Source organism: Homo sapiens, chromosome 9, assembly GCF_000001405.40.
Source record: "Homo sapiens chromosome 9, GRCh38.p14 Primary Assembly".
NCBI lineage: Eukaryota > Metazoa > Chordata > Mammalia > Primates > Hominidae > Homo > Homo sapiens.
Genome location: NC_000009.12, coordinates 101,551,440 through 101,566,327, shown reverse-complemented (window position 1 = coordinate 101,566,327; position 14,888 = coordinate 101,551,440). Strand labels below are relative to the sequence as shown.

The 14,888-nt window shown below is 36.8% G+C and overlaps 1 protein-coding gene across 3 annotated transcripts in view, besides 1 other annotated feature; it reads right to left on the bottom strand.

Annotated features, from left to right (window-relative positions):
- Positions 2,984-14,888, bottom strand: part of RNF20 (ring finger protein 20) — a 29,492-nt gene continuing 17,587 nt past the window's right edge. For all 3 annotated transcript variants that reach the window (XM_011518862.2, XM_047423594.1, NM_019592.7), the window contains 10 exons: positions 14,509-14,644; positions 14,066-14,187; positions 13,575-13,945; positions 12,223-12,340; positions 11,485-11,634; positions 8,732-8,944; positions 5,402-5,527; positions 5,098-5,238; positions 4,317-4,418; positions 2,984-4,082 (listed from right to left, as the gene is read on the bottom strand). In XM_011518862.2, the coding sequence (XP_011517164.1) occupies positions 3,906-4,082; positions 4,317-4,418; positions 5,098-5,238; positions 5,402-5,527; positions 8,732-8,944; positions 11,485-11,634; positions 12,223-12,340; positions 13,575-13,945; positions 14,066-14,187; positions 14,509-14,644 (1,656 nt within the window). In that variant the 3' untranslated portion in view covers positions 2,984-3,905. The remainder of the gene's footprint in view (positions 4,083-4,316; positions 4,419-5,097; positions 5,239-5,401; positions 5,528-8,731; positions 8,945-11,484; positions 11,635-12,222; positions 12,341-13,574; positions 13,946-14,065; positions 14,188-14,508; positions 14,645-14,888) is intronic.
- Positions 11,904-12,121: a silencer, noted in NCBI's record as "fragment chr9:104316489-104316706 (GRCh37/hg19 assembly coordinates)". NCBI's record gives its function as "represses an EF-1alpha promoter that drives an FKBP-Casp9 reporter gene in an ReSE screen in K562 erythroleukemia cells {active_cell/tissue: K562}" and the evidence as "EXISTENCE:reporter gene assay evidence [ECO:0000049][PMID:32094911]".

The following is a 14,888-nucleotide window of genomic DNA, read 5'->3' as shown; positions in this document are numbered from 1 at the left end:
CAAAATAAATTAAAACTGTAGTCATATATTTTTGGATAATACAAATTTGAAGGGTTACTTCGATATATGGGGAAAGATTGTTTCTACTTAGGGGGTGAAAAAAAGAAAGAGTAATAAGGTTTGAATCACACATTGGCCCAGTAAAGCAGACTTCGGAAGATCTGGCAGCAGAACCATGAAGCAGAATTAATTTAATCATGAAAAACTTTACTGACTACTATGTGCCTCTGCTAGATATTAGGGATTAGACTGTTAAGACATTGTCCTTTTCATGTCCTTTAGTAATTGTGAAGTAGGCTATAAGTAAGACCTTAATAGCTAACATTTGGAACAGACCAAACATGGGCAGGAATCCCAGAAGGTAAAGCTCATTCTTTCTGATAGGACCACTTTTAAGTATTTCCAAACTTTAAGATCTAGAAAATTTGTAAGTATTTCTATGTCATGGGTTTCCTATTGTGCAAACCCAATCCAACCTACACATAATCCACCATTTTTCTACTAATCTCAGTGTATCTGTCTTAACATCAGAAAAGCAGACTTCTGCAATAATGACTAATCAAAACTTTTCTGCAGATCCACTGGGACATGGGTTTATCTGGCAGTCCTCAGATAAATCTTCAAAGAACAATATGTAACGGCATTCCACATCCTAGCAAATGACAATGGGAATAAAGATGAGAGTAGCATATGCTTCCGGCAAGTGTAAGCATCACCATCCTAGTAGGTTTAGAAGACTGATGATTATTTATTGTCTAGAATCTTCACAAAATCAAATCACAGTCATCACTCTAGTGGCATGTACATTAAACTATGTGCATCAAATTCCGGCCCTTGAAGAACAAGGAAGCCTACGGATCTGGACAGAGAAAAAGGAAAAGGAATTGCAATGGAAATTCATGTAAGAAAACAATTGCAGAAACAGCTCAATACCTTTGAAAAAGATCCCTATAGTAAGTAAGAAGGTAAGATCCAAGCCATGTAGTTATGCATGCCTCAGAGCACACCTGACTTTGGTCAAAGTCACTAAGAAATTTCCAAGGTAACAATGAAAGAAAGAAAAAAGAGAGAGAGAGACCATCCCTACAAAATCTGAAATGGTTGTTGTTTGTTTTTGAGACAGGGTCTCACTGTGTCACCCAGGCTGGAGTCCATGGCATAATCACAGCTCACAGCAGCCTTAACCTCCGGTGCTCAAGCTATCCTCCCGCTGCAGTCTCCCAAGTAGCTGGGACTACAGGTGTGCACCACCACAGCCAGCTAATTTTCGAAATTTTTTGTAGAGACGGGGTCTCCCTATGTTGCCTGGGCTGGTCTCAAACTCCTGGGCTCAAGCAATCCTCCTGTCTCAGCCTCCCAAACTGCTGGGATTATAGGCGTGAGCCACTGCACCCAGCCTGAAGTGTTTTTAAGAAATGAGAAGCCTCTAGGACTTCTATAATAATCTTTGAAATTGGCATTTATAAGCATTACCTTAAAGAAATTACCCTTTAAAGTTCATATGGATCAAGGGCTGTGATTGCTAACTAGGATCCAAAAAAGCTATGAATAATGTACATACAATACAAATAAAATTTGGTATGCAGTTTGGGAGTATTCCTAAAGCGCATTCATTGACCTCTTCTGTAGTGAGAGAAGCCAACTGCCAAAAAATCACCATCATTTTTGGTTGTTATCTGAAAATGACTGTGAGAGCTCAACTTGTGTTGCCAGGACCTCAAGCCAGTTGGGATCAGGGGCTCCCTGCTCATCTCAACTAGAGGAACTTCCTCTAAATCCAACTTCCCATGGGGCTAGTGGTTTCCTCCACAACATTCCACAGGCCCTATGGTCCCCTGGTGCTGGGCAGCTGGCTTTCTCAGCCAATTGTCACAAACAGCCAACAGCCAAGCCCAAACCACCTGTTGACCAAGCAGTATATCTGCACCCAACCAACAAAGTTATGCTCAAGCTTACCCTATAAGAAGAGCAAGAAGCAAGGGGAAAGTGTCCTATTACTAAATGAAAACTCACTGTGTCCAGAAGCAGGAGCTAATCCTGTCATGATGGTTCTGTGGGGGTGGGGGTGTTTGCTGAGCAGGGGGATCAAGGGACCCATGACCTCTCTTGATGACCTAGTAAGATTCTTCAATTAGACTCATTGCTTAATTCATACCACATGACTTTGTGGAATTCAGTGCAAATCCTGCTGATTATAGCTGGTGACCACAGAAAGACACAGAATTTGCTCTTACCTGTCTTCTAGGACAGGTGGTGATCAAGAAGGATCCATTTTACACAACCCCTTGCCAGAGATTTATGAAACCTCTGGTTTGCTGGTTATTATAAAACATAATGCAGCTGGGCATGGTGGCTCACACCTGTAATCAAAACACTTTGGGAGGCCAAGGAAGGTGGATCACCTGAAGTCAGGAGTTTGAGACCAGCCTGGCCAACATGGTAAAACCCCATCTCTGCTAAAAATACAAAAATTAGCTGGACATGGTGGTGAGCACCTGTAATCCCAGCTATTCGGGAGGCTGAGGCAGGAGAATTGCTTGGACCCAGGAGGCGGAGGTGGCAGTAAGCCAAGATTGTGCCACTGCACTCCAGCCTGGGCGACAAGAGCAAAACTCCATCTCAAAAAAAAAAAAAAAAAACCCACCACATAATGCAAGAACTCTCACCCTAAAGCTAGAGGCAGCAATATGCTCCCCCAAAAAACAAATTATAGTCTCTTACCCCACCTAATGAACTATGAAAGATAACTGAGTAGTCAAATAAATTAATCTTTTAGGTATAATTTCTCCATAGAATAGACTCAATAAAAGAATTGGGAGAAAAGTGCTTCAATTAAGCAAAGATCTAAATACTCTAAACAAGGCCAACCTCTTAACCTAAGCTGATTATTTCCATGCAAGAAAATTTAATTCTATAACAGCAGATATAAAATCAACTTGTAATAATAAAGACAAAAGTTTCAAAGAAAAACCATAAACACAAATGCAAACTGAATCCTGCTTTAATTCAAGCTTGTGGAGAACAAAGTCCTACAGAAACATTCCACAGAATTTTCTGGAAAAGAGGGATCACAACAACCCTGTAAAAAGGAGACTGAGAGTAATTCATAGCTCACCAAGTTCTCTCCGTATCAAATTTCCAGAATACCCACAAGATTTCTTCACCAGCTCAGTCCTGACTCAACCTCTTCAATCTTTATTTCATTAGAAGACAAAGGGTCATATTATTTAAAATTATTCTAGTCTCAAGAAATTTAAAGACTTGAAGTAGTAGAGCATTCAAAACTTAAATAACTTTAACAAGAAAGCCAGCTGATCTTAACAAGTTACTCTGCTAGTAAATGGGAAATAGACTGAATCATCCTAGACATAATTTCATTAGGGCTGCAAACCACCCAGGGGAGAGTAGCACAATTATACCATTTTGTAATCCACATTCACAAGAAGTTTGCTACACAAATGAAGAAAACTTTGTGCCCATAGACAACTTATTTTTTAAAATATCACTCCCCAAAAGTAGCCATGTTTCCACTTTTGTTCCCTTTTCCACATCAAAAATACCAACTTGATTTCTTCAGGAGGAATGGACAATCCAAGTTTATACAGTGGGCTGGAAAAAGAAAACACTGAAAAGTCTAAAAGCACAAAATAAACAAAGCTGGGAGGGAAGACAGTAAGAGTTATTTGTTTCTAATTCATTCTGAAACCCAAGGCTTGTATTTACCAGTCCTTTCTGCTAAAGTCATCCAGCTACTGAAGAGGAGAGCCTGGAAGTAAAGTCTGGAGGAAAGGTAGTTGACTGATAAACTGTCCTACAGGTGACAGTCAAGGAGAGAAGAGGTAGAGGTTTGGTGGTTAATGAATAAGTTCCTGACTAGCCAGCTCCTCTTCTTCTCTTGACTTAGATCAACCAATGTAGATGCGATGAAAATCATTGGCACCAAAAGCAGCATTACACTTGGGACATTTGCGCTGGCGGGTGTCATAGCGTGTCTTCACACACTCAAAGCAGAAGACATGAAAACACTTAGTAAGAACAGCATCCTTTTTACGCATGTTACAGCACGGACAGGTCAAGCGTGCCTAAAAAGAAAAGATGTCAGAGTTTGAACAACCATGAAAGTTTATGATCCAAATGGCTCTCATATACTACACAACCAAGAAGAAAACCCACAAGGCACTAAAAAAAGAGCATCATTTCCCCCCAACCTCCAAAATAAACCATTCTCTGGTTACTATCATGCAAATTATTCTCCCAGTCTATTAGGCCACTTAAAGCTTTGACAAAAAACTAATCACTAAGGCATTTTTTCTAACCTTGTAATCCTTAATCTCTTCCATCAGAATCTCATCACACTTGGGTACATTGTCTGGTTTCTTTGTGGTCTCCAGCTTCCTGCGAAGTCTAGAGATGTCCTCCTGTGGCAGGATAGCATACCCATTAGACACACTTACCCAAATCTATCATTTTTGAGAAAAATAATAGACTTGAGTTTTCTGTTGTGAAAAGAGGGGACTTTCTATCCTTTTATGGTCAATTATCTTGTAGAAATGTAGAGAACTGCAAATGGCAGGATATTTTCTTTTGTTTCAGAAGAGGCAACCATAATTATATCCCCAAATTAGAATTGCATCTATTACCAATTCAGTCCTGTGAAAACACATCTAAGAGTTTAGAGGACAGTCTATTTTGTTTTATAGTAATTAGTTTTAAGCTGAAGGTAGAACGGTTTAAAATAATTCAGAGACTTACGGATAAAGACAGAAAGACATCATGAGAAACAGCTAGCATGACAAAAATAGAGACATTATACAAGAACTTGAAAATCCTCTACTGCTGCTATGCTGTTACTTCTTTAACAATTTACTAATTCATTAATTTAACAAATATTTATTTTGTGCCTACTAGGTGCAAGGCACCATAAAAGAGTCTGAGGATATGGCAGTGAAGAAAACAGACTTACTCTCTTCCCTCAACAAACTTCCTCAAGTCTAGTAGGAAATGACATACATTGGACTAATGATTCTTTCATGATATGGGTCACTTCCGACCTCAGAAAACACCTAAAAGGTGACAAGAAAAGACAACTGCTTTTACCTGGGCTCGTTTGAAATTGAACATGTCCTTTTCTTTGGTAACACTGTTCTCCACGATCTCATCCTGAAAATCATGTAGCTTCTTCTGAGCCAACTCCAGTTGTGCTTTGAGGTCATCTGCAAGCTGGGCTGCCTCCATTGCCTATGTAGGATGTACAAATAAGTGACACCATTGTATCACCTATTATTGCCAGTGAGGCAAAATGTTAGCCCAAGTTGAAGGAATAAAGCGAACTTACAATCTCAACAGTGTTATACTTATTTGTTCCACTGAGACTAACCATCATTAGATTAATCAATCATACCTTGCGTTTATTCATCTCTAAGGCTTGGGTCCTAAGACCCAGCTCTTTCTCCCCTGTGCCAATGTTGCTCTGTAACAGATGCTCCTTCTCTTCCAGTTTCCTTACTACCTGTAGCTGGGCATCAACCTTTGAACAGAAAATCAGATTTTAACACAAATGAAAAGATTAAAAAAAGAAAAAAAACTATTCTGTTAATCTATAAGCCCACAAAATACAGTATGTTAGAAATCTCAAACTATTACTGATTTTGCCCATGAACCCTTCAAAATACATCAAGACTATGATAACTGAAAGCTTTACTTTTAATATAAAATATTGTGGAAGATTCAGTAAGAGTCTGAAAAATGACTGAAAAGATTCTTTTCCAAATTGCCAAAAATAGAGAATGCATGCTAATGCTTAAAACCTGGCAATTCATACTATAACATATAAATTAGAACTCAAACAAAAGTCCAAGAGTATTTCCTTCAGAATGGCTAGACATTCTAAAAGAGTCTTTTTTGAAATTAATGCACAAAGTAGAATCAAACAATATTAAAGTGTAAAAAGTAAAATCACAAACACCCACCTCCTAACCTCACCCACAACTCATCCCAATATGTAGAGGTAACCATTCTAACAGTTTCTCACACTGCCTTCAAAAAGCATATCAAAAAGATAGTCCACCATGATCAAGTGGGTCTCACACCAGGGATACAGGGATGGTTTGACATCCACAAGTCAATAAATCTGATACACCATATAAACAGAATTTTTAAAAAATCACATGATCATCTCAATAGATGCAGAAAAAGCATTTGACAAAATCCAGCATCCTTTTATGATTAAAACTCTAGCAAAATCAGCATAGAAGGGACATACCTTAAGGTAATAAAAGCCATCTATGACAATCCCACAGCCAACATTATACTGAACAAGGAAAAGTTGAAAGCATTCCCCCTGAGAACTGGAACAAGACACAGATGCCACTCTCACCACTTCCATTCAACATGGCACTGGAAGTCCTAGCCAGAGCAATCAGACAAGAGAAAGAAATAAAAGGCATCCAAATTGGTAATGAGGAAGTCAAACTGTCACTGTTTGCTGATTACATTATCATATACCTAGAAAACCCTAAAGACTCATCCAGAAAGGTGCTAGAACTGGTAAATGAATTCAGCAAAGCTTCACTATACAAAATTAATGTACACAAATCAGAGCTCTGCTATACACCAACAGCAACCAAACTGAGAATCATATCAAGAACTCAAACCCTTTGACAACAGCTGCAAAAAAAATAAAATAAAATACTTAGGAATATACTTAACCAAGAACGTGAAAGACCTCGACAAGAAAAATTACAAAACACTGCTGAAAGAAATCACAGATGACACAAACAAATGGAAACACATCCCATGCTCGTGGATGGGTAGAATCAATATTGTGAAAATGACCATACTGCCAAAAGCAATCTACAAATGAAATGCAATTCCCATCAAAATACCAACATCATTCTTCACGGAACTAGAACAAACAATCCTAAAACGCATATGGAACCAAAAAAGAGCATACATAGCCAAAGCAAGACTAAGCAAAATGAACAAATCTGGAGGCATCACATTACCTGACTTCAACCTATACTATAAAGCCATAGTCACAAAAACAGCATGGTACTGGTATAAAAATAGGCATGTAAACCAATGTAACAGAATAGAGAACCCAGAAATAAAGCCAAATACGTAGTCAACTGATCTTTGACAAACCAAACAAAAACATAAAGTGGGAAGGGACACCCTATTCAACAAATGGTGGTAGGATAATTGGCAAGCCACATGTAGAAGAATGGAACTAGATCCTCATCTCTCACCCTATACAAAAATCAACTCAAGATGGATCAAAGACTTAAATCTAAGACCTGAAACCATAAAAATTCTAGAAAGCAATATTGGAAAAATCCTTCTAGACAATGGCTTAGGCAAAGACTTCATGACCAAGAACCCAAAAGCAAATGCAACAAAAGAAATGATAAATAGATGAAACTTAATTAAACGAAAAAGCTTCTGCACAGCAAAAGAAATAATCATCAGGGTAAACAGACAACCCATAGAGTGGGAGAAAAAAATCTATACATCCAACAAAGGACTAATATCCAGAATCTACAAGGAACTCAAACAAATCAGCAAGAACAAAACAAACAATCCCACCAAAAAGTGGGCTAAGGACATGAATATACAATTCTCAAAAGAATATATACAAATGGCCAACGAACATAAGAAAAATGTTCAACATCATTAATTATCAGGGAAATGTAAATCAAAACCTCAATGCAACACCACCTCACTTTGCAGGAATGGCCATAATCAAAAAATCAAAAAATAATAGGTGTTGGCATGGATGTGATGAAAAGGGAACACTTTTACACTGTTGGTGGGAATGTAAACTAGTACAATCACTATGGAAAACAGTATGGAGAGTCCTTAATGAACTAAAAGTAGACCTACCACTTGATTCCGCAATCCCACTTCCGGGTATCTACCCAGAGGAAAAGTCACGCCATGGAATACTACTCAGCCATAAAAAGGAACAAAATAATGGCATTCACAGCAATCCGGATGGAATTGGAATTGGAGACCAATATTCTAAGTGAAGTAACTCAGGAATGGAAAACCAAACATTGTATGTCCTCACTCATAAGTAGGAGCTAAGCTGTGAGGACGCAAAGGCATAAGAATGATACAATAAACTTTGGTGACTTGGCGGAGGGAGGCAAGGGACAACAGACTACACACTGGGTACAATAGACTACACACTGGGTACAATGTACACTGCTTGGGTTATGGGTGCACCAAAATCTTGGTATCACCACTAAAGAACTTATTCATGTAACCAAACACCACATGTTCCCCAAAACCTATGGAAATTTAAAAAAAAAAAAAAAAAAGTAAAATCACACATACCTCCTAACCTCACCCACAACTCATCCCAATATCCAGAAGTAACAATTCTAACAGTTTCTCATGCAGCCTTCCAGAAATTTTTAAAATATACAGCACAGGAACACAAGTAAACATATACTTTAACGCAAAAAGGATAACAAAACACGTCACTTGATTTTATTTCAGACATGTTTCCATATTAGCAGATCCATATTTGACAAGTACACTGTACTCTTTTGTAGGAATAACAGTAGAGATGTATAATTTATTTACCAATACCCTAATGATGAACATTTAGTTTTCAAATTTTTTTCCAATCACAAAAATGTGCCACAATAATCATTCTTTTACTTATATCATCATGTAGAAAGCACCCTATTTCAACAGAATAGAAAGCTCTACTCATCCTAATTACCTGAGTCTTCAGAGTCAACACCTGGTCTGCCAGCTCCTCCTTCTCTTCTTTAAGCAACTTATGGATCTGATTGGACTTGATACGCTCTGACATGAGCTTGAAATTTGCATCATCCTTCTCCCGCAATTGCTGCATCAAACGGATATTTTGCTCCTGCATGTCTTCAAAGGCCTGGCCTGTGACATCCATTTCAGAGAGGAGTGCTTCTTCTTCCTAAAGGATGAAGGAAGAGATTTGATTTTAGAAGAATCTTCCAACTTCAATGGAAGAGCACAGGAAACTAAATTTTCCCACTGTTCATTTAGATATAAATTAATTTAGTGACAGAGTTTTAAGAAGTTGTGTTTTGTCACTAGGCATACAGAAGCTCTATTATCTGAAGTCACTGGCACCAATTGTTGGTCTGATACTTATTAGTTGATCTGTACTCAACGTCAGTTAAATTAGACAATAATTGTATTTACCTTAATCTAGACAAACGGATCAAGCAGCAATTGGTTAAGAGTACTTCCATCATAACCTCTCACATTTTCTCATGCTTTTCCACAATTAAAATACTGGATCTACAGGATTTCCAGCAGTTGCAAACATCTAAAGCCTTGTAACAATCTGATAGGTGAAGACTGGTATCTAATAATAGCTTTACTTTATATCTATCTCATTTTAAGTGAGACTGAGCATCTTTTCATATGGTTAAGACCACTTGTATTCTTTCCATAACCAACTCATTTCTTTTGCCTATTCTTCCACTGGATTCTTGAGTTTTTTTCCCTATTTTGGAGAGTTTTTTTTGTATCAGATAAGCCTTCTTTGTAATAAAAGTTAAAAATATTTTTTACTTTTTGTCATTTAATCTTTTGGCTTTGCTAACAGTGTTTTTTGCAGTGTAGAAGTTTTGCATCATTTTAAAAAATAACTCAAAATTATCAATTTTTTGTTCATGTTTTCTAGCCTTTTATTCATAGAAAGGTCTCCACTCCAAATTATAAAGGAATTTAATGGTTTTCTTCTAGCTTTTTGATGGATGCATTTTTTAAAATATCATATCTATGATCCATTTGGAAATCATCCTAGTGTATTCAAGTATGTATCTAACTTTTCTCTAACATTATTTTTTTTAATTTTGTCCCATCACATGTCACAGTTTTTCTTTTCCCCACTGATTTAAAACTATGTATTTAGCACATAATAAGTATCATGTGTACTTTCAACTACTTCTCAAGTTTCTATTCAGTTCTAATAGCCTGTCTAGTAGTCCCAAGCTATTTCATCTACAGAAACTTTATGTTTTAATATATGGAAGAGACCCCAGTGCTGTTCTTTTTCAATTTCTCTTGTTACTCTTGTTTACTTCTCCACATGTACTTTAAAACCAGTTCTTCTAGTACCAAAATAAACAAAAGCAAAACTTAAAAAAAGCACTTTTATGAGATCACATTATATTAATACATAAACTTAGAAAGACTGAACATTTTTAAGATAGTCATCGTATACAAGAACATAGTGTCTTTCTTTTTACTTGTTCTAGAACCTATAATAGTATAATTTCCTGATAATTACCTTAAGAGAGAGGGAAGAAAAAAAAAAGTGGCATTTACCAGATTTAAGAAAAGTCAAAATTACACTTTTTTTTTTTTTGAGATGGAGTTTTGCTCTTGTTGCCCAGGCTGGAGTGCAATGGCGCCATCTCGGCTCACTGCAACCTCCACTCCTGGGTTCCAGCAATTCTCCTGCCTCAGCCTCCCAAGTAGCTGGGATTACAGGCATGCGCCACCAAGCCCAGCTAATTTTGTTTTTTTTTTTTTTTAATAGTGATGGGGTTTCTCCATGTTGGTCAGGCTGGTCTTGAACTCCCGACTTCAGGTGATCCATCCACCTCGGCCTCCCAAAGTGCTGGGATTACAGGCATGAGCCACCGCGCCCAGCCCAAAATTACACTTGTTAACAAAAGGAATGTGTATAGGATCTAATGAAGTTCTTCTTTTCAAGGCACTTCATGATCAACTTACCATTAAACCTACTCCATCTCACTGTTATTTTGCTATTTCTTAGAAACAATGAAGGTGTACTAACAGAGAATACATATATGGTTTTTTCAAGCATTTTCAGTATCTTTATTATTGAATTTTAATAAAAATTCCCTGGCATTTAAAAATACATACATATTCATTATAAGGAGGAGAACAATCTCTATAGTTCTATGACCCCAAAATAGCCATAGTTAACATACTGCTTAATCAATGTTATTATATTGGTTAATAGATTATATCCTTATTATATATAAATCACATATTTATAAGCATAGTTTTTCTGTGTAGTATATGTACTACATAGAAATATATAATGATATATATTTATAAGCATAGTTTTCTTAGTTTCATATATTTGTAATCATAATGTATATAAAATCTTATGTCTTATTTTTCATTTTATATTCACTATAACCCTTAATTCCAGGTCAGCAAAGAAAGACTAGATCTTCAATAACTGTCTGAACAACAGCAGAGAAAGACTAGATCTTCAATAAATGTCCATTTAAATAAAAGTAAATTTCTTGCCTCACAAATACACAAAACAAAATAACAGAAAGATAAAAGACTTGAAGGTAAGAATTAAAACACACACACAAAAAGGAAAAATACACATTAACAATCAAAAAAAGACCAAAATAAAAAAGCAAATTTCACTGGCAATAACTTATTGTCAAGTAACATTTACTCAAAAAGTCAATTAAATAAAGAAAGTGAGTCCACCTGCTTGGCCATGGCTAGCTTCTTCTGTAGGTATTCTATCTGCTCCTCCACTGCCCGGATCTTCCTCAAGGCATCCTCATCAGCCATTTTCTTGTTCTCTTTCTTCTCTTTATCTTCCAGATCCTTGAGTCTTTGCCTTAGATCTTCCAACTATAAGAGGAAAGGAATTGCACAAAAATAAAAAGTTATAACACATTTTCAAAAATCAATTAATACTGTGCAAAGATAGAAGGTTCATAATACCAAAAGAGTCTTTACAGAATTATAGAACAAGGTACATAATATACTAAAACATTACATAACACCATCTGTTTTAACATCACTCCATTCTACTATGACATGCTTCTATAAGCAACACTTTTGAGAAGTGCACAGGTAACTTTCTTTAGAATAGTGGTTCCCATCCTTTTTTTTAGGCCTCAAAATTTTAAGAGCATAAGACATTCCTCCCAAAAGTAATGAAAAAGATTATCCCTGTAGCAATGAATTACATAGGAAAAACAAGGAATACATACTTTGGAAAGCCTACTCATAACCCCAGTAATTCAGATATATTTTACCATCCTATGGAGAGTTTTAAAATCTCTACTTCAGATGGTCTTTGAAAAGGCAGAAAATGTTGCACTTAAACACTTATTTTAAAGATAAAGAAAGAAATTATATCGTTGGCAAGTATAAAGGAAAATCCCACAAATGAAGATTTTAACCAGAAGGACAGGTAATAGCAGACTAGAATACCTCTGCCTTAGACTTCTTCTCAGCTGCCATCAGCTGAACTTTGTCTCTCTGTTCCTTTGGGGCAGAACGGTACATATCCAGCAATAGTTTCATCTCCTTTTGGCTCTCCTGTGCCTTCCTATGACAGGCGTAGTAGAGGGAGGGGAACAATGTAATAAGAAAATAAAGGTCATCAGAGCAAGGGAATTTTGATTGAGCAGAATATTTTAAAACAGTTTCATTTTACATTTCATATCACACCTAAAAGATAAAATTTTGCACAGACTATCAAAAGACTTTTGGATATGCTTAGAAAGTACAGAAAAGTAAGCTGTATAAAAATGAATCATTTCTCCCTTCAAAGTCCTCTAACAAAGTTATAAAACAGACATTTGTGTACTTGTTATATAGGCAAATTTCTGTGGCCCCCAACCCTGGGTAACTGAGATTCAGTAGGTCTGGGGATGGAGTTCAAAAATTTAAACAAGTGATTTAAACAAGTCACTCAGATGATTCTGATACCACACCAGAAAAAAAAAAAATTGCCTTAAAGAGTTCAAGAGGGAGAAATAAAAGGGAAAAATTTGAAAGTCTGAGATATACTGTTAATCCTAGATTTGACAGCTGAGTGATTAACCATCAGCCAAAGACTAAAACTTCACCTCTTATTAAATTACTAAACCTCTTAACTATACTTTTATATACCAAAAGAGTTCAAGCATTTTGAGCACAGTGGTCTCTCAAGTCCAAACATCAACAAAGGATCAACCATAGAAAGTAAGGAGCAAGAAGTAAGCCGTTCTGCCAGAGAAGTTATTGGTTATACAGGAGAAGGGCCAATGCATAAGGTTATGACACAGAAAAATTCAACAAGTTAAAGGTCTATCTTAGTGTGTCAATGTGTATAGGAGTAAATCTCCTAAGAAAGATATGGCATATTCACAAACCAGTTAACTCTCAGGCAAATAGATCAGATATTGTTCAAGTTACAGTGATATATAAATACTCCACTTAATATCATTTAAATTACAATTAACGCCAGCAATCTGCTCAAATCCAGTGAAGAGCAGTAGTTAATTCCCAATAATTCTCAGAAGTATTACCTCAATCATGACATCCTTTTCCTTAATTTGGATTCATAAAAATAAGGCTACCATCATCGGTTTGCTGATACTCGATCACTGAACCAAAGTACTAAATAGCCATGCAAGCCATTTTGGCTGTGCACTTGAACACGACTTGAAACCAAATTAATTGTACAATCTAAAACATTAAAACGATCAGACAAGCCATGCCATCAACCAAACATTTCATGCATGATGTCTTAATCTTAGCTTTTCAGTCGAAACTGTTACTCTAAATGTGGTTCTTACTTGAGTTCAATCTTCAATTGTTTGATAATTTCTGCTTCCTTTTTCCGTCCATCATCATGTTTGCCTTTCTCTTTATCCTTAGCAGAATCTCTCTCTTTTTCTGACTCTTTTAGCTTCTGCTTCTCTCGTTCTCTCTCCTTCTCCTTCTCCCGTTCTCTTTCTCGTTCCCTCTCCTTCTCCCTCCTTTCTCGTTCTCGTTCTTCTTCATCCCGTTTAGACTTGATTTCATTGGCATCCTCCTGAGATGCCTTTGAAGCTGAGGACTGGGAGGATAAGTCCTCAGAATCTGGTTTTAGCTCCGCAGGCTCATCCTTCGGGTCCTCAGTACTAGACTGGGACTGCAGGAGGGCACTACCACTACGCAGGCGTGTCTGGGAGAATAAAGAAAAGAAAGATGCACATCTCTTATGATAACCACATTGCCGACCTCATTCAAAAGCAGCTTTACGACATTAATAGCAAATGATATTTATTCTATTCCCTCTGGTTACCTTGTTCAGGTCAGACTGGGCTTCTCTCAATTTCCGCTTATATCTCAGGACCTCCCCTTTCAGCTGGTGATTGTGATTCTGGAGGCTACTGATGAGGTGGCGCATCTCCCTGTTTATAGGGCCTTAAATACAGGAACAACAATGTTATGAGGAACCGTGGTAAGGGCAAAGGCACAAGGAGAGAAAGAACAGAACACATCAGGAGGCACTGAGAAATAGGGAGAATTACCAAATAAAAGATTCCTTCTCAGAAGATGAAAACAAAACTGGTCAACTTGAGTTAAAAAACAAACATCCAGGCTGTGAACCAAAATGAATTATAGGATTTAAGGTACTTATGACTTCTGAGTTGAAGTCAGCATTAACAAACCCTGGGGTCTGTGTTGTATCTTTCAAGGAAGGTATTAAGAGCAAACTACAGCATGGAGTGAGAATCATTATACCTGCTTGTTCATTGGCAGCAAGGGTCTGCTCAAATTCTATCCTCAGCATTTCATACTCCTTGCGGACCTGGGCCAATGTATCTTCTAGCTGAATTACTTCAGTCCTCAGCTTCTTATGAAGACTAACCTCATCTCGCTACACACAGATAAAGGAACCAATAAAAAAATTCTTATTAAAATGTAGAAATATCATCATATTCTATGGATTACTCTGAAAATTTCCAGTTCAATCTATACGTAATGAAACCAGATATCTACAAAAGACTAATTTGGAAACTGACAGGATACTGAAAAATAAAGAAAATGGCCACCAATTCTGAGAATATTAGAATTTAGTTGGAGAACTAAACTATAAAACAGTATATAAACATATGTAAAAT